Genomic DNA, 23,522 nt, shown 5'->3' on the forward strand with positions numbered 1-23,522 from the left:
GTGAATTATTAACTGAGCTGTAAAACTTGTGGTTTGGGCAGTATTTAGTGAAGGAAATAGTAGCGTGGGAAGGCTTCCCAGGTAAAGTGATACTAAAACTACCATTTGTAGAACTCCTGCTCTGTGCTGTGCACATTATCCCTAGGCCTTACCTCACAAGGAAGACATTATGAATAACCTTTCCTTATTGAGAGAACTGAGGTCTGGAGGTACCGTGGAACCTGCCCATGGTCACACAACTGATAAATGACAGAAGTGTAATTTACCATCCAAGTTGGTGTTTCAAAAAATTGTACCTTTGATACTCCATGCACCAGGGCATGAGCCAGAAAAGATGAAGTGGTTGAAGAGGAGAGAGATGGATAGTTACTTTAATTCAAGGGGTCCACGTTTTTCTTATTTTCAAGCTCAGTGCTTCATGAGATGATACTGTGCATGTGGTAGGAGTTCACAGAATGTGGGTGAGCAGCAGAGAAAATGACTCACACCCTTTGAGGCCCAATATTCAGAGGTCACTGTGGCTCTGTGTCTATTTCTACCCCCATAGCCCACCTTTCTAGACAAAGGTTGAAAGGTCAGGTTGGAGAAATTTATCAATGTGTAAACATTATCTGAGACCCTCCTGTGTGTATGTGCACCTTGGGCTTACTGAGTTGGAGGGAAGCAGTGGTACAAAGAGTAAATCCACACAGGCCCTGCTCAAGGACACACACACACACACACACACACACACACACACACACCCCTATAAGTACTACAAATAAACATAAATGCACAGATACATATGGTCACACATTTGTGTATAGCTATACATATGTATATAATATGGCCTTAAGCACAAACGTGAGCACATTGATGTACAACACACAAAATATACACACAGAGACATGTAAGCACAGACACACAAAATATGCATGCAAACACACAAATACACATAGACCTGCACATAGACATGAGAAAACAAGCAATGAAACACAGATTCATACACTTAAGCAGGACATAGGTAGATAATACATGCATATAAACATATGAACACTTAAATAAAAACACAGATATAACATACATATACAGAGAAATACACATATAAACATCAACCTAAAAATACATAGAAAGATAAACATGAGGGTTTAGAAGAAAACTAACAATAACAGGCCTTACATATTAAGGGACAAAGGAATGGCAGAAACTGTTTTGTACAATGGGAGTTGAGAAGTGGTAGCAATCCCTATGGACTTCAGTGGTTTAGGAAAGCTTTCTAGAGGAGCTGGAGTGTGGGCTGGGATGTGAGATTTGGTTAGCATTGGATAGGCAAAGAGGATGGGGAAAAATTCCAGGTAAGTGGTAGAGAAAGAGCCAAAGTCCAGAGGCAATCAAAGGCAAGAATGATTCTGATGAACAGGGAGAGTCAGTTGGACTTTAGCTTGGTGTATATTTAGAAAGGCAGGAGAAGAAAAAGCTAAGCCAGATTGTGGAGGGTATTGAAAATAAGGCCAAAATGCCTAGACTTGATCTTAAAGACTTCTATGGGAGCCGTAGAAACTTCTATGGTGAAACGGGGGCCTGCTGCGGTTGAAAGCAGCTTCTTAGGACCAAATCTGTTTGCAGAATATCAATGGAATAGGATGGGGAAATTGGAAGCAGAAAACTGAGAGACTAATTAGACTATTGGTTGTATAATGCAGTGGAAAGAGCATGGGAATGGGCATTAGGAGACCCGGGTTCATTCACCTCTCTAGGCCTCAGTGTTCCCATCTATACTCTAAAGGTGTCATATTCACCCATGGATTTTCAACCTATGTTCTGGGGATCCCTAGGAGTTCTGTAGCAGGGAAGAGGAAGGGAATAGACAGAAATTTAGGTGACTGGATTTCAACCAATGGTGTACTAGAGACAACTTAAATTCTAAGAGCTGATTGTGTGAATTTATTCCTAACTCTGTGTTTAGTGACATTGTGTTGGTAGTTTGAAAGAAGCCATGATGAAGATATTTACAAGACCCTAGACGTAAGACCAGGCATATAATAGGTATTGAATAAATGCATATAATGCACTTTTGATGTTTCTGACACTGTTCTAGGTCCTGGGGGATATAGTAATAAAGAAACAGACATGAAACTTAAATTTTAATAGAAAGAAAAAAGTTTAAAAAACAACCAAGCAAATATCAAAAGGAAAATCAATCATTATATAATTATATATTATATGGCTCAGCCATGATATACCAGTAACATAAACACTGAATCTTGCTCTCACCACCAACATTGTCTATAAATAATTTATTTATTAATAATAAGTTGTGGAATATGAAGACAGGAAATACTCATATATGTATGTGCAGGACTTGGGTGAATAGAGGTGAGGGAGTGAATTAGAGCTAGATTTTTAAGAATAACAATAGCAATATGAGCATGTTATTCAGAGATATGAAGTCAAACACTGGCCAAAAAAAAAAAAAAAAAACAGCTAACAAAGTTGAAAATGATTGTCTTGGGGAAGGGGAAATATTTTAACAAGCTTCATAGAAAGATTTGATTTTCTTGATTATGTCTATCTAGCTAACAAATATGTATATTGTATATAATATGTCAAATGTTGATGAGTACCATGAAGTAAAATAAAGCAGAGCTATGGGATAGACAGTGTAAGAGTGTGATAGGCAGAGTACTAAACCCCCAAAGATGTCCGTATACTAATCCCCAGAACCTGTGAATAAGTTAGGTTACATGGCAAAGGAGAATTAAATTTGCAGATGGAGTTAAGGTTGCAAATCAATTGACCTTAACATAGGGAGATTATTTTGGATTACCCAGGTGGGTCCACTGCAATCACAAGAGTCCTTAAAAGTGGAAAAGGGAGGCAGAGGAGTCAGTTAGGTAGGGGGAAATGTGACTATGGGAGAAAGGCACAAATAGGTGTAACACTGCTAACTTTGAAGATGGAGGAAGGGAAAACATGTGTCAAGGAAAAGGGGTGGCCTCTAGAAGCTTGAGAGAACAAATAAATGGATTCTGCCCTAGACCCTAGAGAAAGGAATGCAGTCCTCTGACATCTTCATTGTAGCTCAATATGATTCATGGCAGACTTCTGACCTCCAGGACTGTATGATGGTTAATTTATGTTGCTTTAAGCCAGTAAAGTTGTTCTAATTTGTTATGACAGTGATGTAACACTAATACAGAGAGTAACGAGATAGCATGTATTCTCAGAGGAAATAATATTTGAACAAACCTGAATGAAATATGAGAGTAGGCTTAGCAGATATCTGAGGAAAGATAATTCCAGGCATGGAGGACTGCAAGCGCAAAGACTTTGAGGCAAGAACATGCCTAGAATGTTCAAAGAGGTGGGTTTGGAGCAGAGGGAGTGAAGGAGAAAATTGGGAGAAGATAAGATGGGAACGGAAAAGGGTGAGGGAGAGTATATTATGCAGGTTCTTGTAGGGCATTTAAATGATTTTAACTTTTATTCTGAGATAAGGAACAATTGGAGGGATCTGAACAGGAGGATGAGACAATCTTATTTGTGTTTTAAAAGGATTGCCCTTACTTCTCTATTGTAGAATATAGATGAGCAAGAGTAGAAGCAGGGGTACCAGTCTGGATTTGCAACAAATGAGTAAATGCAGGACAGTGACAGTGAAATCAGAGTATAAGGGGTGGATGCCAGAGACTGTGGAAAGAAGAGTGACTAGGTTTTGGTTATGTGGCAGAGTGAATCATGGCTAAGTGGAAAGCATAAATACTACTCATGTTGTAGATATGGCTGTCCTGGGCAACAATAAGGCCATAAACAGAGCTCAGAAAGTGTTCAAGGGGAGGGGTTATTTTTAGCAGAAGACAGTTTGGGATTAGCCATGTGGAAACAGAGATGATGGGACTCCTGCAGTGAGATGTCCTCATAGGGTGAAGAAGGTAGGACTGGAGTTCAGGGGAGATCATGCCTAGAGGGAGAACTTTGACAATCATTCAAAGACATGTGATGGTGAAGCCATGGGAGATTGTCATATCCCTCAGTATAGGAAAGTGCAGAAAGAAGCAGGTATCTAAGGATGGAGAGCTGAGAGTTCTATGTGGCACTCAACTCTCTCCTTCACCACCAATTCTAGATCCATACTTAAAATCACAGAAAGTCAGAGCCTACAGGACCCTTTGAGACCACAATGAGTCCTCCTCCTTCGCCTTGACTTCACAGGGGAAAAACATGAAGCTTAGTGATGGAATAGAATGTGTTTAATGATACACAGTGAAGATCAGTGGCAGAGGTAGGACTAGAACCCAGACTACCTTTATTTACATCACACTGCCACTCGTGCTGCTACATCCTCTAATTATGCAGGTTCTAAGAAATTACCCTCAAAAATGCATTTGGGAGAGGCCATTTCTAGACTGGACAGAGTGGAGCTGCTTTGTCCTTACTGAGCCCTAGTTGCTCTCTCTGAAGTGAAAAGCTAATAGTATTAATCAGTCAACTAAAACAACCAAGAGTGTACTTGAAAATCAAGCTGGGATCCATTGGTTACATGCATGCATGCAGAATGGAAAACAAACAAAAAATAAACTATATGCCACCGCCCTTATTTTTGATTGAACAATAAGAAGCAGTGTTTTTTGAGCTCTGGTTTTTAAGGTGACAGAAAAAGAGGAAGTGAGACAGTTGTGGCTGTGAGTGGGTGGATGTGATACATAAACTGAAAAAATTTTGTCATTTTCCTACTTCCACCCACTCTACCTACTGACTTGGAGAGTTCAACAAACAACAGCCTAGGAAGATCCCTGGTAGGCTAAGCCTGCAAGCCTTTTTCCTGGTTCCTCTTAAATGGACTTTCAATTTAAATCCAATTAATTTCATCAAAAGACTCGAGTACTTACTGTGTATGTCAGGCTTGTGTTAGGGACCTTACAAAAATTTTCTCCTTCATTCCTTCATAGTAGCTTTATGAGAAAGGTACTAATTTATTCACATTTTACAAAGCGTGTAAGGCTCAAGGCCTGGGCTCCAAATTTAATTTGAAATGGAGCTGGGAATTGAACCTATACGGTTTAAGGATAGAGTCCATGTTCTGGCTACCACTATCCAATACTGACTCTTGTACTATGAGTTTTATCTCTGTAACTCTAGGCCCAGCCAAGGGACTCATATGTGTCAGGTTCCGTCTGTTAGGTATAACCAAATTGAATGTAGAAGGTACTATCCTAGGAGGTTAAACTAATATAAAACTACAAGGAAACAAAGATCCAAATTCCCCTCAGAGTCAGGAAAGGCTTTGAGGGGGTAGGTCATGGCATTTCCAGTATACTTTGAGGATTGGGTAGGTCTTTTTCCTTTTCCATTTTTTTTTTTTTGAGACAGAACCTCCCTCTTTTTCCCAGGCTGGAGTGCAGTGTCATGACCACCGCTCACTCCAGCCTCAAACTCCTAGGCTCAGCAATCCTCCTCCCTCAGCCTCCTGAGTACCTGGGACTATGCACACCATCAGTGTAGGTCTTTTATAGGAAGAATTAAGAGCAAATAAGGAGGTTGTTCCAAATGGAAGTTCAGGGTGAAGCAGGACGACTTTTGTACAGTTGAATAACTTCATTTTTAGCATCTCTAGCCTTGACTAGTTTGCTAGACTGCAGACCCCAGATGTGAGGCAGCTGTTTTCTTCAGGACAGGATTTGACCTATGCTATACCCAAATGCATGTAATACAAAAAATGTAATAACATTTCTGCTGTACTAATCTTATGTTTGCTTTCCCTAAGCACATACTATCTGGAGGATTTCAAGGCATCCATGCCCATATTAGTAGGTGGAAACAAATAAGCCAGCATTAAAAGTTCTCCAAAAAATAGGCAAATTAATCTAGAGTCATAAAGTAGGTTTATTGCTGCATGGGGTTAGGATAAATTTCTGCTTAGGGCCAGTGAAAAAATGGGAAGTGACTGCTAATGGGTATAAGATTTCTTTCTGGAGTTGTGAAAATATTCTAAAATTGATTATGGCAAAGGTTACACAGCTCTGTGAATATACTAAAAACCACTGAACTGTACACTTTAAGTGGGTAAAGTTTATGTTCTATAAATTATATCTCAATGAAGCTGTTGAAAAATTCATTACAGTTTTGGAAAAAGTTTTAATGGCTTGGGAAAAAGTTTAAGTAATAAACTTTTAAGTAATAAACTGTTAAGTAATAAAGCAGAATATGAAATTGTACATAAGCCATAATCCAAACTAGGTTAAAAGTATGACGAGCTTGCAGATAATGTTTAATTTTTTTCTTATAATTTTTTGTATTTTCAAATTTTTCTAATAATCATATATTTTCTTTAATAATTTATTTTTATAATTTTCTTCAAGTATGCATCAGATATATATTTTAATTGGTAGACCTAAAATAATTTTTCTTTTGTACTTTTTACTTTGTTCCATTTTCTGATTTTCTACAATTAAAATGTACAATTTTAATAATCAGACAAAACGAATGCATTTGAAAATACCATAAAATATCCATTATACATTATAGCATCTACAAATAAGTAAGAATAATTTAAGTCAACTAATGAAAGAATGAACACTCAGGAGACAATTTGCACCAGAAGTAATATGTTTGGCTAGTGAACACATAGAAATATGCTAAACCTCACTTATAATAGCCAAAGTATAAAAACAATTGATGCTGCCCATTTTTGTTGAAGGTGTAGGGAAAAAGACACTTTCATACAGGGATGGTTGGAGTTTAGACTGTTGCCACCACTCTAGAAAGTAATTTGATAATACCTATTAAGATAAAAAAATTTTACTGAGCAATTAAAGTTTTAGGATGTTATTCAACAGAAACATTTACACTAGTGTATGATGAAATACAAGATGTTTATTGCATCATCGATGGTAATATGGAAAACTTAGAAGCAACTTAAATGCCTATCAATAAAAGATCGCTTAAATAAATGTTAGTTCATCAATATACTGAAGAATACTACAAAGCTATTAAAAAGAATGGGGGTAGTTTTATATGTACACATACAGAAAGATGCCTACAACATATTATAGATGAAGAAAGTAAAATTTAAACAAGAATGTATGAGTCCATTTTTGTTGAAAAATATAGGTTAATATATGCATAGAAAAATTCTGTGAAGGGCAGACAACAAATTGTTTTCTGTGGGGTAGGTTTATGGGGGACTTTCAGTTTCAACAAAAAAGGAAAACTGAGTTTTAATCCTAGATTTTCTAATTACTAAGGCATGAGGCCTTATATAAGTTGGTTTCCATTTTCTCATATGTAATGGGGCTAAAATTTGTATGTATTTCATAAAGTTACCTTGAAGATAACTAATGTAACTAATAAATATCAGTTATTTAAAATGTAAGCAATAAATATCAGTTATTTTGCTTTATACTACAATTTTTAATAATTTTTACACATTGTTTCTAAAATCAGAAGAGAAGGTAAGAAGATTGACAATCCACGTTCAAATAATGGTTTGGTGACTTTGTCAGAGTAGCAAGTAAGATGAGCAGAAACTGTATTAAACCTCCCCATGAGGAACAGAATATCTGGTAACCTACAAAGGAGCTCCCCAGATAGGGAAAGCCTTAGATCTCTATTCTTAAAATTTACTGGAAACTGAAGCATTTTTACATGCATTATCCCAAATCTGTCAGTTATTATTACTCTATAGATAAAGCAGAGTCTCTGAAGTTAACTAACTTCCCCAAAGTCACACATCGTGGAACCATGAATCTTACCAGGTTCTGTGTGACTCCAAATTTGTGCTCTTTCATATTGCACAACACTGTCCAGATTAATTCAAGTGGAGAGTGAACTTTTTCTGGTACATCCCTTAGTCTCTTGCACAGCCATTGCCTTTCACACACCCAGACTGTTTCTTTGCTTTAGGGACTGGAAAGTGGAAGTGGAACCCCCTATGTTCTGTCCTGGGATATTTCCGGGGTGAGCCAAGAGTAGCTGTGTGTCCTGCTAGGTCATGGACTTTCACTGACCACAGAAGTTGAGAACCCTTGAGCAAACTAAATTCTTATATCTTACTGGTTTGGGAGCAAAGCAGAAGTGGCAAAAGCTGACAAAACCCAGCTGGAGCAGGAATGTTGAAATGGACACAAATAAACATACCCTGTGGACACAATCAATATAAATGTTCTAAATTTACTTCTGCTCCTATGCTTATACTTTCTGTTACCTTGTAGCTAATCTTGGAGGTACTAGATACTCTTCCCTTCTCTTTTGCCCCATCTTTCAGGTGCCTAATTGTGCTATTCTCCTCTTCATCTTCATAGTCAAATTTCTCATTGAGGGTCTGTGTAGCTCACAGCTGGACTACTACAAATGTCTTCTCTTGGGCCTACCTATCTCAAATTTATGTTTAAATGTGTCCCAAACACTCTATTTTGATTATCTTTTCTCAGTCCTCAAAATGCTTCATCAACTCCTCCTCATGATCTGGCTTTATTATCTGGGGACTTAAACCTGGACTTATGCAGTAGACGGGCAGATAAAAGTAGGAAACATAAATATAATTTACTTCTAATTTTTACTATCTGCTAGAATATAAGCTTTATGAGGTAGAGATTTTGTGTATTTCATTTACTGGTATGTTGCAAGTGCCTAGAAATAGGCTTGAAACCTTGGGAGCTCAACAAATATTTATTGAATGGGTGAATGTATAAACATTCTAAGATCTTGTAGTTAATTTTCTTCCTTTGTAGTACTCAAATAGGAGTCAAATCTGCCATGTAAAATTTAGAGGTCATATATTCCAAGGAATAAGACTCTACAAGTTTTCTTGAAAGCACTGTCCAATTTATAAAACTGCTCACTGCTAGGGAATGTATTCTTTTGTTCATGTTATTCATTTAGTTCCCACATGCCTACTCTGTGCCTGACCCTGAGCTGGCACTGGAAATACAAAAATGAGTACAAAACATTACTGCTTTCAGGAAACCCAAAATCCAGAGTAAAACACAGACACATGACAACTAACTAGAATTTTAGGCCACACATAGTAAGTGCCCTGTAATATATACTAAATAGTCCAGGGGTAGAAAGGAGAGAGATCACCTTCAATTTTGGAATCAGAAAAATCCCGCTGGGCGTGGTGGCTCACACCTGTAATCCTAGAAATTTGGAAGGCCTAGGCAGGCTGATTGCCTGAGCTCAGGAGTTCAAGACCAGCCTGGGCAACATGATGAAACCTCATCTCTACTAAAATACAAAAAAAAAAAAAAAAAAAAATTAGCCGGGCATGTTTGCATGTGCCTGTAGTCCTAGCTACTCTGGAGGCTGAACCTGGGAGGCAGAGGTTGCAGTGAGCCGAGATCGTGCCACTGCACTCCAGCCTGGGCAACAGAGCAAGACTCCAACTCAAAAAAAAAAAAAAAGCCTCCCAGTGTAGGTCATCTATCCATGGCAACTAAGCCCATTATAGTCTTAGCAGGTGCCAAATAAGGTGTTGTTTGGCATAGCTTCCAATATTACAGACTGCAAAGATATCCCCTTCCCCAAGTACTCCCTCCCCAAGTCCTTCTTCTCTGTAGTATATAATCCCAGTTCCATTAGCCTTATTTTACAGATCGTGGTCTCATGGCCCAGAACACTTTTTGAGAGTACTTACTAGGTTTTCTTCCTAAGTACTAACTATTCTAGTAAGCTGTTATAGTCAACCCCATGACTGCGGAGTTGGGAAATTCAAGCACTCACTGAGGGTGTGCTGACTTAGGTGGAAAAATGTCCTGAATAACCTAATAGTGAAATCAGCCCTTCACTCCCATGGAGCAACTAGGGTGGTGTAGCAATGTGTGTAACTGTGGAACAGAGAAGACATGTGGAAATAAACAAGACAGACTTACAAGGAGTCACCAAAGTGCCAGAGTTGCAGAGGTCACCACCATTTGCACATCGTTCATTGACTTGGTCACTGTCACCTAGATGAAGAGTGTTGACATTAAATATTAAATTTAATTAATATGATTCTTTGTAAGACTTTGTAAGACTGTTCCTGGCTGGCACTACTGAGGTTGTGCCAGCAGATCTAAACAGGCATGCAGATCTAAAGGCCGAGATACCTGGGGCAAACTGGCTTAATGGAACTGTACTGATGCTGAGCCATGTGAGGAGGTGCAAAGTGTCAAACAGTAGATGCTACCTTTTCAATATACATGAATCACTTAACTCAAATGCAGCTGCTGCTCATCTCCATTTTGGAAGCTATTCCAAGGAAAAATTCAGTTAATAGTATTTTCATCTGGCTGTCTTCCTTTGCTATAATCTCTTGAAGTGAGAGTTATATATCACTGATATGTAAAACATATATGTTACATATATATATGTGACATTTTCAAGAGCACTTCATTTTTCCAAAGGCCTGATAAACACTTTATATCTTTCTGGTACTTGGAAGAAATGTGTACTTCTCATGCTATGTTGGGCACATGTCCATGCTGCTGCTGGTTGATGGAGCTTTAAGGGTTGGTTTGGTTCCTACTACTTCAGGGTAGGTTCTCAAATTTATGGATCCAAGCAGTCACCATTATCAATTCTGATGGTGTCAAATTAATCAAAGGTGTAAAACAGTGTCTCTCAGTCTTGGCTACACTTTATTTTTTATTTTATTTTATTTTATTTTATTTTATTTTATTTTATTTTATTTTATTTTATTTTATTTTTTACCAACAGGAGATGCAGTTTATTTACAAAAGCAGCCATGGGGGCAGAGGGAATACATAGCATTTACAGAGTTAGCTACCTGTACAGAATGAATTACATATGCAAAAATAAAAGTCTCAAGATGACAGGACAGCGTAAGCTCCACTCCCCTCCCTCAATCACCCCAGCATGTGGTAATGCCAGGCCGGTGGCCCCTGAGTATGTGGGGGTGGGGGGGTGGGAGTGATGCCTGGAAGGAAAAGCCACTGGCCATGGAAATTAGCACATAATCATACCCCCAACCCCTCCCCCGCCCCCCCCCACACACACACTCAGACACATGATAGGATACAGACAAAGGGCAGATGACACCTAGCTGGGATGGGAAGGATAGGAATTGAAGTCTACACAGCCTGCTGTAAGAGGGAGGGGAGTGGGAAGCTCCTAGCCACTGTTCAACTACATGGTAAGGGGGAATTCTTTTTTCCGAAGGAAAAGGGTTTGTTCCCTCAGGGTCCCTGCTGGAGCAAGCCCATTTCTTACCCAGCCTAGGCAGGGGACTCTGCCCTGAGGGTGGGCCAAGAAACAATGGGGAAGTTTATGTGGACAAACCAGTTCCCAAACTACTTCCCACTTCTCCCTCCTCTAACCAGAAGGGGGAAAAAGAGGAAAGAGGAGAGAAAAGGGTGTATTATGGCCTGAGTTGCAGCTGCCTTTCAGAAGGGAGAGTAACCCATAGCCTTCCTCCCTTCACCTTCAGCCTACTCCCAAGACTGCATCTGGAAGGAGGCTGGAGGGCTGGTGAGATTCTCCTCTATCTCTGGCCTCCCTCGGAGGTAGAAGGCTATGGGGCCAAGAACAGAGGAGCCCAGGCCCCAGGATTTATTCTAACTTCCGCTAAAATCTGTTTTTTAAAAAATAATCACAATTTGTGGGTAAAAAACTGATTTGTAACCAGGCATCAGACACCATCAGAATCACCCTAGGGGGACAGTGGGGTTCCAAACAGGGCGCTGTAGCCCCATCTCTGTTGTTCCCTTAACCCTCTAGGATCCCTAACCTGATCAGTCCAACCAATCCTGGGTACTAACTACCCAAATGTAGGATGACTCCTCTTGGGAAGAGGGCAGGGGACATGTCCAGCAAGTGCCAGAGAACTTGGCTCAGGATCACCTCTACCCATGTCAGTCAGCTCTGCTCTCAGCCCAGGTTGTGGTCCTCCAGCTTGGCTCCTGGGAGTAGTGGTGCCCGCATAGAGGGGGGATGGAATATCTCTTCAGGATGTAGACAAGGCAGGTGGGCACACTGGCATTTGACAGTCCCACAGAAGGGCAATGATACCCCTTCCCCTCCACTGACAACCCAGAACACAGAGGCCACCCTCTCTTCCCACATAACTCCTAGCAAAGGGGGAAGAGGCACGAGATTAAGATTTCCCTCAGAGTCTCAAACCACAAGTACAGAATAAACAACTTAAAAGCACTAAGGAAGAGAAATGGGGGGCTTTCGAGGCAGGAGCACTGAGATAGGAAGACAAGCCAGTCAAGGTGAAGCGGGTTGGCAAGCAGCAGTTGGGGACTTGGGCTGCCCTGGTAGGGCAGTGGGGCAGGGTGGGTAGGAGGAACACAGGGCCACCCCAGGAGAGTGAGGCTGGGCCCCTTCCTGGGGCAGGGAATGAGGTAAGAAAACATTGCAAATAAAGCAACACAGTTCCCTCTCACCTTGGGGCAGCACTCCTCACCAGCCCTGGGTCAGGGAGGAGAGTCATGGGGAATAATTCTGACACAGCTCCCTCTTCATATCCTCTGTTTCCCATTCCTTGAAGCTGTAGAGGCTGGAGGCCCTTTCTTGACACCCAACAACAAAAGGACAGCTCCTGCTGCCAAGGAAGCCCATGGGGACTAAGGGGAAAGGGCTGTCCCTGTGAAGGGAGGGTAAGGTGGTGGCAATTCCGGATGCTCACCTCAGCAGAGAGTACTCTGTGCCTGCCCACCCCTGGGACTGGGGACATTTGATAGGACTCTTCTCACAGACAGGGCATGCCCATCCTTGCCCCTCAGCTCCAAGTACTGGATCCATTCACATTGCTGAGGGCAACGAGGGCAGGCCCCCTCCAGGCTCAGCTTCCAACCCACAGCCTCCCGGGCCACTACATTGCTCCTCAGCAGGGCTTAGTCCAGTTCCTATGGTGGGAGATAGGCAGTGCCCTGGCACAGTGCCCAGTTCAGGCCCCTGGCCTAGCTGGACATTCAGTAACTCACAGAATAAATAGAAAAACCGCCTCCCCACCACACTTATGTCCAAAGCATCATATGTCCAGGTCTGAGTCCTGCATGCCGAGGAGTTGTGCTCCATTGTAGAGGACCTTGACATCCCCCAGGGGCACATAATCAGATCCTCTGCCTGCCTGGCCCACCGAGTTTCCCAAGCCCCAACCCCCAGCAGCCATCCATTTGCCAGGCTATGGCACCTGGGTGGGGATCAGGAGAGAGGGCTCTGCTCAGCCAAAGGCTATCTCTTGCACTGAAGTCAGTTGATGTCATCATAGATGCTGGCCGTCGGGGGTATCGGTAGCTTTGGCTTCTTCCTGTTGGAGCCCAGGTCGGAGGAAGTCCCTACCAGGCTCAGATGGGATTTCTTTTTCTTGGTTTTCTGTGTCTCAGAGCTGTTGGTACCTAGACCCCATCCCTGATTTTCGCTCGTCTTGGGGGAGCCTGAATCACAGGGTGAGAGATCAGAGGAGCAGACCCACTGAAGCTGGCTGATCAGGGCCTGGCTGTCAGTCATGTCAAAGCTGTCATTATCCTGGGAGCTCTCCACCTCTGGATGGACAGCTGAGGCCCTGAAGAAATACATCTGCAAGGTTCACTTCTGCTCAACTGTGTGCTGTGGGCAGTGCAGGGACTTTGTGCACATCTTCTTGGTATCTTCAGAAATCATCCTACATTGCATGCTTAGCAGGATATGAAGCTCCTCTGGCCCCAGGTTTCGTAGCTGATCCCAGTTGAGTTGTTATACTTACAAAAAATCAAATCACAAAGTTCCCCATTTTTGTGTTTCAAAGACTCAGATCTTCGAGGGGAATCGGGGTTCTTGCCTGATTTTCTCTTCTTGGCTTTATTCTCTGAGCCATAGGACCAGTCATTGTCATTGATGTCATCATTATCCTCTTGGTCACTCTCAGACTTGCCCATATTGTTGCTATTGGCAATCCAGTGGATGGCGATTCGGCCGCTATTCCCACCCATTCCCAGGCACCTATCCAGATGGGGAGCAAAACGGGAGGCAGGAATGCTACAGTTGCAGTTGGGGCAAACACACTCTTTGCTCTTCCACTGGTTGAAAACCAATATCCTTCATGCTATTAGGGTCTGTGTCATCCAGAAAGAGGTAGCCACACATGACAGCCTGGTGTACCTCAAAGCAGAATCCCGAACAAGAATTCTAGACTAGGTCCGCTTATATCTCCCGAGCTATGGCCTCTAGTTTGCTGTTATTCAGGCCAGACAAAGACATTTCCTCCATTTTCTTTTGTAAACTCTTGTGGAGAGGGCGCTCTGACTGTTGATAGCACAGCAGGCGGGCGGGGGTGGGGGGTGAAGGAGGGATGGGGAGTGGGGAGAAGGAGAGGGGTGGTCAGGTAGCCTCTCAGGGAAGCATTCTCTGGGGGTGGCTGCTCAAGAACCCTATGTCCTTTGGTCCATTCTCACCTCTCCCTGGGGCCCGAGGCCCAGCTGGGGGTTTGGCCTCCTTTCTGCCTCACCACCTCACCGGGCAGCCATGGCCTCTTCCCCTCCCTTCTTATCCAATCACCGCCTCCTCCTCACCTACCCCGTCCCCGCACAGTCCTCTGGGCCATCTTGGCTACACTTTAGAGTCACCTGGAAAACTTTTAAAAGTTCAAATATCCAGATATTACCTCAGACAAATTAAATCAAAGTCTTTAGGAGTAGGTCCCGGACATCAGTATTCTTAGAGCTCTGTATTAGTCTGTTCTCATGCTGCTAACAAAGACCTACCTGAGACTGGGTACTTTATAAAGGAAACGGGTTTAATTAACTCACAGTTCCACATGGCTGGGGAGGCCTCACAATCATGGTGGAAGGCAAAGGAGAAGCAAAGGCACGTCTTACACAGCAGCAGGCAAGAGGGCATATGCAGGGGAATTCCCTTTTATAAAACCATCAGACCTCATGAGACTTATTCACTATCAGGAGGACAGTACAGACCTGCCCCCATGATTCAATTACCTCCCACAACGCTTGGGGATTATTACAATTCGAGGTGAGATTTGGGTGGGGACACAGAGCCAAACCATATCAAGCCCGCCATCTGATTTCAATGTGCAGCCAAGGTTAAGAACCACCTAGATGCCATTTGAGTTACTGTGATGAGAGATATAACTAGCAACATTTGCAGAAATTACCATTTCTTCTTCCTTTCCACTTGTTGGTATGGGCATACGTAATATTATTCTGGGAAATCAAACTTAAATACTATCCTTGATGAGTGTGTGATCAAATGTAGGGTCAGGGACTCGCCAGGCATAGGAAGAATTCTTATGATTTGAAACAGTGCCTAAATGGGATAAAGGGTAAGGAGAGAGCCTGAAATTAGATAACAGATACAAAATACCCTCCCACCCCAGCAGGCCCTATTATTTGGACGTAATACTATCCAGTATTCAAAGGGAAACCATCATATTACTTGATTCTTTGATAAGTTTCCTACCCTATGAATTCCTTCTGTTATTTATTTTTTTAATGGGAACCAATGTTACCTAAAGTTTTATTTTAATAAATTTAATGTTATAGGCAACTTTGTTGGAATCTATACATCTCATAAAACAAGCAATAAATATATTTATTAGGCTAAGATAAAAAAACATTAGAATGGGAAATGTCTGGCAATATTCCGATTGAGTTGTCACTTTTGCAGGTCAGCACAGCAGTGTGGAACAAATATGTATATATATTTAAAGAAAGAAATTAGTATTGGAAGACTGGAAAAAATATGAAATTGTTAATAGAATTTCAGTTATACAAACAAAGGTAGACTGTTTTGTCTAGCCTGCACATGGCTTCCAAAATAAAATAGGTTCAGGCTCTCCAAAAGGATAGGTTCAGGCTCTCTAGAAGAAGTACAATAGACTCTTGCTTTATTTCAGGCACTTGCCTTAGGCATATTTCTTGGTTCTAAGTGGAATAATCCAAAATGAGCATCTGTCTTAGAAATTTCATTGATGGAGAGGCATTTCTTTGTCTCAAGATTTTGTAGTTGGCTGGGCATGGTGGCTCACGCCTGTAATCCCAGCACTTTGGGAGGCCGAAGTGGGCAGATCACCTGGGATCAGGAGTTTGAGACCAGCCTGGCAAACATGGTGAAACCCTGTCTCTACTAAGAATACAAAAATTAGCCATGCATGGTGGCATGTGCCTGTAATCCCAGCTACCCAGGAGGCTGAGGCAGGAGACTCCTGGGAGGCAGAGGCTGCAGCAAGCCGAGATCACGCCACTGCACTCTAGCCTGGGTGACAGAGCAAGACTCGGTCTCAAAAAAAAAAAAAAAAAAAAAAAATTGGTAGTTTTATCCAACCACTATGAAATGTTTCCCTCTACTCAACAGATAGTTGATTGATCATTTATCCATTTTTTCATTCAATAAACATATATTGAGGGACTGACTACTATGTTCTAGGCACTGATGATACAAAAGTAGAAAAGGGAACACGACAAAATACTTGCTCTTTGAACTTACAGTCTGGTTAAGAACTGACAATGAATAAGTAAATCTCCTTTTTCACCTTTTCTCTTTGCACTTAAAACAATTATATATTTGTGTTGACTCCTTTTAGAGACTAAAATTCATGAGGTATGGGACCCTGTTATGTTCACCACTATATTTCCAGTTCTTGGTGCAGAGTAGGCACTCAACAAATATTTGTTAAATGAAAGAACTCAGAGCAATAGAAAAGCAAATGGTGGTTTGTTACATTTTGAGTTCTTGAGTTTTACTACTTTCTTCATTGTACTCTGTCTTGGACAATAGCTCAACAGTCAAGCAGTCAGCAAAGACTAATTTTTGCCTAAAGAGCTTGTGTCTTGGAAAAGGCATGGAGATCTTCCTCCATTGTTCTAAAATCACATCTACCAGTACTCATTTCTGAAGGGCAGTGCCATGAGCACAGGCAAAGTAAAATGAGCTAAAGCATTTGTTTGAAAGCTTTCCATTTTATGAGATGAATTCTTTCATAATTCTGAATTATAGGGGCAGCTGTTAGTAGCTTCCTAGTCTTCACTAAGAAAGTTGGTTAATAATATATTTTATTTATACTTTTCAGAATGTACATAGTGTTTCTAATTTGGGGGAAGTTACAGCCCACTGCATAACTGAGTTTTTGTCCAATGGATTATTTTACCTTTTCTCAGACATATGCCCAGATAAGAACGTCCATGAAAGACGTTGGTACTTGCTTGGCTTAGGAGAAGGGACCATGGCTCTTCAGGGGAGAAGAGAAGCAAGGCCTACATTATTGAAACTTACTTAGTGATCTGGCACCAGGACGATTTACCCAGATTACTTTGTGGTGGTCATACCATTCAGCACCGTGATTGCTTTTTCTTCTATAGGCTGTCTAAAGCAATGTAGTGATAGGATTTGGAAAAAAATATTTCCCAAACAAGGAAAAGCCAAGGTTTAATATTCACTTGGTAAACATTAAGACTCCTCAGTCATTTGGTTTGAGGCTAGTAGCAAATTATGCTGATTATTTCATTACCTTTTTAGTATGGGCTGTGGGCCCTAGGAAAACACAGAACATTTGGTAGACTTATAAATGTTTGATTCTTAAAGCTATCCAAACTACAGTCTGATTATTTATATAGCATGGCAGTTTGATATCATTTTACTCCTCAGATCTTCTTGACTGCTTTCTACTGATACAGATCTAACTAACTGTCCCAAGAAACCCTGGAATGATGTAACTCATTTGCTATATCAAGTCCTCCTGAACTATGGACTTAGAGATACCACCTTAGTTGGCCTAATTCATCCACCTCTTTGATCCTATTTGTAGCTCCTGCTCCAGCTATGCTATTCTCACCTTTAGTGCTTTCTCTGTTATGTCTTTAAAACTCTCCACAGCCTTTAAAGGCTAAGTTTAATGTCTACTTCTCTGGTTATCATAGAACTACCTATAAATCCAGATCACTTTTGCTCATGCTACTTTGTGATACATATGACTCTGTGATGTTTTTACCATAAAACCACAGGGCACTCAGTCTAGGAGATTTTTTCTGAAGTGCAAAAAATAATTAAAACACAAGTTCATACATATGTCTGTTTTACAGTCTCTATACCTACATGAACATGTGATCTAGAAGCTGTATTCCTTTTTTTTCACAGGGTCCAGTCTATCCAAAAGAAGAGGACCCTATGAAATGCATGCTAAGTTCTTTGTTAACTTTATGTAACATGTTGAAGCAACACTGTAGTGACAACATAGTTCTTTCAATTTTTGAAGTATGCTAGGTTCATTCCTGCATATCAAAAGCTCAGTCCTGGGTAAATTGAAGCCTGGACTTTCTTGAGAATTTTAAACATTGTGTAAACATTATATTTAAGTGAATGTGTTTTTTATAAGATATACTGACTGAAAGCAATGACAAAATCCTTCCTTTCCTTTGAAGTTTATTGGAGAGGCTATGGAAGCACATGTAGAACTTCGTGAAATAAAAGGAGAATAAAATGAGTAAACATGTAAGGGGAGTTTAGCAGGTGGAAGTAAAAGAGTGGGGAAGCAGTACAAACTGATCTCTTTGAAAACAGCTTGAAGTTTTGTATTCATTTTATGTTATTTAATTTTAATTCTTATCTTTTAAAGTTTTTTTTCCATAAGTTATTGGGGTACAGGTGGTATTTGGTTACATGAGTAAGTTCTTTAGTGGTGATTTGTGAGATTTTGGTGCACCCATCACCTGAGCAGTATACATTGATCATGGTGGATTATCTTTTGGATATGTTGCTGGATTCGGTCAGCTAGTATTTTGTTAAGGATTTTAGCATCTATGTTCATCAAGAATATCGGTCTGTAGTTTTCTTTTTTGGTTATGTCCCTTCCTGGTTTTGGTATTAGGGTGATGCTGGCTTCATAGAACGAATTAAGGAGAGTTCCTTCTTTCTCTATCTTGTGAAATAGTGTCAAAAGATTTGGTACCAATTATTTGAATGTCTGGTAGAATTCTGCTGTGAGTCTGTCTGGTCCTGGATTTCTGTTTGTTGGTAATTTTTAAATTACCATTTCAATCTCTTTGCTTGTTATTGGTCTGTTCAGGGTATCTAATTCTTCCTGATTTAAGGTAGTATGGTTGTATTTTTACAGGAATTTATCCACCTGTTCTGAGTTTTCTAGTTTATGTGCATAAAGGTGTTCATAGTAGCCTTGAACAATCTTTTGTATTGTCAGCTGTAATATCTCCTGTTTCGTTTCTTAATGAGGTTATTTGGATTTTCTCTCTACTTTTCTTGGTTAATCTTGCTAATGGTCTATCAATTTTATTTATCTTTTCAAAGAACCAGCTTTTTTGTTTCATTTATCTTTTGTATTTTTTTTTGTTTCAATTTCCTTTAGTTCAGCTCTGAACTTGCTTATTTCCTTTCTTCTGCTGGGTTTGGGTTTGGTTTGTTCTTGTTTCTCTAGTTCCTTGAGGTGTGACCTTAGAATGTCAGTTTGTGCTCTTTTGGTCTTTTTGATACAGGCATTTAGGGCGATAAACTTTCCTCTTAGCACCAACTTTGATGTATCCCAGAAATTTTGATAGGTTGTGTCATTATTGTCATTCAGCTTGAAGAATTTTTTAATTTTCATCTTCATTTCGTCTTTGAACCAATGCTCATTCAGGATCAGATTATTTAATTTCCATAGTTTTGAAGGTTCCTTTTGGAGTTGATTTGCAGTTTTATTCCACTGTGATCTGAGAGACTGCTTGATATAATTTGAATTTTCTTAAATTTATTAAGCCTTGTTTTATGGCCTATCATATGGTCTATCTTGGAGAAAGTTCCATGCACTGTTGAATAGAATGTGTAATCTGTGGTTGTTGAATGAAATGTTCTGTATATATCTGTTAATTCTATTTGTTCCAAGGTATAGTTTAAATCCATTGTTTCTTTGTTGACTTTCTGTCTTGATGACCTGTTTAGTGCTGTCAGTGCAGTATTAAAGTCCCCCACCATTATGGTGTTGCTATCTATCTCATTTCTTAGGTCTATTAGTAATTGTTTCATAAATTTGGGAGCTCCAGTGTTAGGTGCATAGATGTTTAGGATTGTGGTATTTTTTCTTTTGGTCAAGGCCTTTTATCATTATACAATGTCTCTCTTTGTCTCTCTTAACTGCTGTTACTTAAAAGTTTGTTTTGTCTGATATAAGAATAGCTACCCCTGCTCACTTTTGGTGCCCATTTTCATGAAATGCCTTTTTCCACCCCTTTATTTTAAGTTTATGTGAGTCCTTATGTGTTAGGTGTGTCTCTAGAAGCCAGCAAATAGTTGGCTGGTGAGTTCTTATCCATTCAGCAGTTCTGTATTTTTTTAAGTGGATCATTTAGGCCATTTACATTCAATGTTAGTATTGAGATGCAAGGTACCATTGCATTCATCATGCTATTTGTTGCCTGTGTACTTTGGTTTTTTGTTCATTGTTTTTGCTTTTTAACTTGTATTTTTGCTTAATAGGTCTTATGTGATTTATGCTTTAAAGAGGTTCTGTTTTGATGTGTTTCCAAGATTGGTTTGAAGATTTAGAGCTCCTTTTAGCAGCTCTTGTAGTGGTGGCTTGGTAGTGGCAAATTCTCTCAGCATTTGTTTGTCTGAAAAAGGCTGTATCTTTCCTTCATATATGATGCTTAGTTTCACTGTGTACAAAATTCTTGGCTGATAATTGTTTTGTTTGAGGAGGCTGAAGACAGGGTCCCAATCCCTTCTAGCTTGTAGAAATCTGCTGTTAATCTGATAGGTTTTCCTTCACAAGTTACCTGGTGCTTCTGTCTCACAGCTCTTAAGATTCTTTCCTTCTTTGTCTTAACTTTAGCTAACCTGATGACAATGTGCCTAGGTGATGATATTTTTGCAATGAATTTTCCAGGTGTTCTTTGTGCTTCTTGTTTTTGGATGTCTAGGTCTCTAGCAAGGCCAGGGAATCTTTCCTCAATTATTCTCCCAAATATGTTTTCCAAGCTTTTAGAATTCTCTTCTTCCTCAGGAACACTGAGCATTCTTAGTTTTGATTGTTTAGCAAAATCCCAGACTTTTTGGAGGCTTTGTTCATATTTTCTTATTCTTTTTTCTTTGTCTTTGTTGGATTGTGTTAATTTGAAGACCTTGTCTTCGAACTCTGAATTCCTTTCTTCTAGTTGTACAATTCTATTGCTGAGACTTTCCAGACCATTTTGCATTTCTGTTAGTGTGTTCAATGTTTTCTGAATTTTTTGTTTTTCTTTAAGCTGTCTATTTCCTTGAACATTTCTCCCTTTAATTCTTGTGCTATTTTTTTTGTATTTCCTTGCATTGGGCTTTGCCTTTCTCTGCTGCCTCTCTGATTAGCCTAATAACTAACCTCCCGAATTTTTTTTTTCTGGTAAATCAGGGATTTCTTCTTGGTTTGGATCCATTGCTGGTAAACTAGTGTGATTTTTTGGGGGGTGTTGAAGAGTCTTGTTTTGTCATATTACCAGAGTTGGTTTTCTGGTTCCTTCTCATTTGGGTAGGCTTTGTCAGAGGGAAGGTCTAGGGCTTAAGGCTGTTGTTCAGATTCTTTTGTTCCATGGAGTGTGTTTTTGATGTAGTACTCTCCCCCTTTTCCTATGGATGTGGCTTTCTGTGAGCCAAACTACAGTGATTGTTGTCTGTCTTCTGGGTCTTTCAACCCAGCAAGTCTACCTGGCTCTGGGCTGGTACTGGGGGTTGTCTGCATAGAGTCCTGTGATGTGAACCATCTATGGGTCTCTCAGCCATGGATACCAGTGCCTGCTCTGGTGGAGGTGGCAGGGGGGTGCAATGGACTCCATGAACGTTCTTAGGTTTGGTGGTTTAATGCTCTATTATTGTGCTGGTTGTCCTTCAGCCGGGAGGTGGCACTTTCCAGAGAGCATCAGCAAGGGAACCAGCCTCGAGGGGGGAGCCTAGAATTCCGAAGATTATATGCCCTTTGTCTTTAGCTACCAGGGTGTGTAGGGAAAGACGATTAGATGGGGGCAGGGTTAGGCACTTCTGAGCTCAGACTCTCCTTGGGCTGGTCTTACTGTGGCCCTGTGGGCGATGGGGATGAGGCTCCCAGGTCAATGGAGTTGTGTACATAGGAGGATTATGGCTGCTTCTGCTGACTCATGCAAGTTGACACAGAAGTGGGGGAAAGCTCATAGTCACAGTCCTCACCCAGCTCCCATGCAAACCAAAGGGCTGGTCTCACTCCCACCGTGCCCCCTCTAGCAACCCCAAGTCTGTTTCCAGGCGGTGGGTGAGCCAGGCACTTGCCCCAGGCTACCCACCTCCCAGCTACAAAAGAAAAGGGCTTGGTTCTTCCTCCACCTGTGGAGTCTGCACACCGGATTCACACCCTTCCCTGAGTTCTGGCCAGGAGGTTTCTCGCCCTATCCAAATTGTTATGAAGTTCAGCTGGAGATTTCCTTCTCCTTGTGGTGTTTTCCTCACCATCTGGTCCCGCTCCTCTGGCCACCCTCCCGATGGATCCCTGTGGTCCCAGGCAGGAATGGCCTGCTTGGGGACCCAGCAAGCTCCCAGAGCCTTTGTGCTGCTTCCTCTACCCCTGTATTTTGCTTGGATCTCTAAATTGACTCAGCTCCAGGTAAGGTCAGAAACTTCTTTCGAAAACAGACATTCCATTTCTCCAGGGGTGTGTGTTTGGGAGAGGAGGTTCCCCCTTTCCCACTTCTGCCTTTGGGGGACTCACAATATTTGGGGTGTCTCCCAGGTCCTGCAGGAACAGTCTGCTTCCTTCAGCAGATCTGTGGCTCCTTTGGGATTGCTGTTTTATTCTTTCAGTCAATCTGGAGCTAAAATTCACAATGCGAGCCTTTGCACACTGCTCTGTCCGTCAGAGTCTGAACTGCAATCTAGTCCTTCCTCCCATCTGCCATGATGATCTATACCTTGTATTCATTTTCAAAACTTAAAATCTTGCACATTTGCAAGTATTCCCTATACTAAATAAGTGTATTCTATGATGTTCAAACAATGACAAAATAGCTTAACAATGGATTTCTCAGAATGTATCCCTGTTGTTAAGTGACACGTGACTATTAACAAAAAACTTTCTTTCCTTCCTTCCTTCATTCTTTCTTTCCTTCTCTTTCTTTCTTTCTTTCTTTCCTTTCTTTTCTTTCTTTCTTTTTTGCTTTTTGTTTTTTTTGAGGTAGGCGTCTTCTTATGTTGCCCAGGTTCCTCTTGAGCTCCTGGACTCAAGTGATCCTCCTGCTTCAGCCTCTTAAGTAGCTTGGATTGCAAGTGTGAGCCACTACTGCTTTCCAAAAACAGATCTAACTGTCCCAAGAAACCTTGGAATGATATAGCTCATTTGCTAGAAGCAAAATCAAGCTACATGGATTTGCCAATTATTTAGAAAACTGCTATAACATATGGTATTTAACAGAAATTTTGGTTCTAGACTCAAATAAGGTATTGGAAGAATGTTGATTTAAAACGTTTTTTAAATCCCCTCCAACTTTGAGGTATTCCTAACCTTCTATATATGGTCTGAATTTCATCCCAGCCATGAAAACTTGTTGTGGTACCAGGAGGTAACAATTTTAACTACAATTTTTAAAGTACAGAGGTTAAGAAATGGAGGGAAATACATTAGA

General features: G+C 40.8%; 1 pseudogene, besides 2 other annotated features; it reads right to left on the minus strand.

The window, feature by feature from the left end:
- Nucleotides 4,209–4,258: an enhancer, noted in NCBI's record as "active region_29721". NCBI's record gives its function as "activates an Ori minimal core promoter by ATAC-STARR-seq in GM12878 lymphoblastoid cells {active_cell/tissue: GM12878}" and the evidence as "EXISTENCE:reporter gene assay evidence [ECO:0000049][PMID:35858748]".
- Nucleotides 12,977–14,227, minus strand: ATXN7L3P1 (ATXN7L3 pseudogene 1; annotated as a pseudogene).
- Nucleotides 21,894–22,188: an enhancer, noted in NCBI's record as "tiled region #4431; HepG2 Activating non-DNase unmatched - State 24:Quies, and K562 Activating DNase matched - State 5:Enh". NCBI's record gives its function as "activates a minimal TATA promoter and a strong SV40 promoter by Sharpr-MPRA in HepG2 and K562 cells {active_cell/tissue: HepG2 | K562}" and the evidence as "EXISTENCE:reporter gene assay evidence [ECO:0000049][PMID:27701403]".

Source organism: Homo sapiens, chromosome X (assembly GCF_000001405.40).
Source record: "Homo sapiens chromosome X, GRCh38.p14 Primary Assembly".
Taxonomy (NCBI): domain Eukaryota; kingdom Metazoa; phylum Chordata; class Mammalia; order Primates; family Hominidae; genus Homo; species Homo sapiens.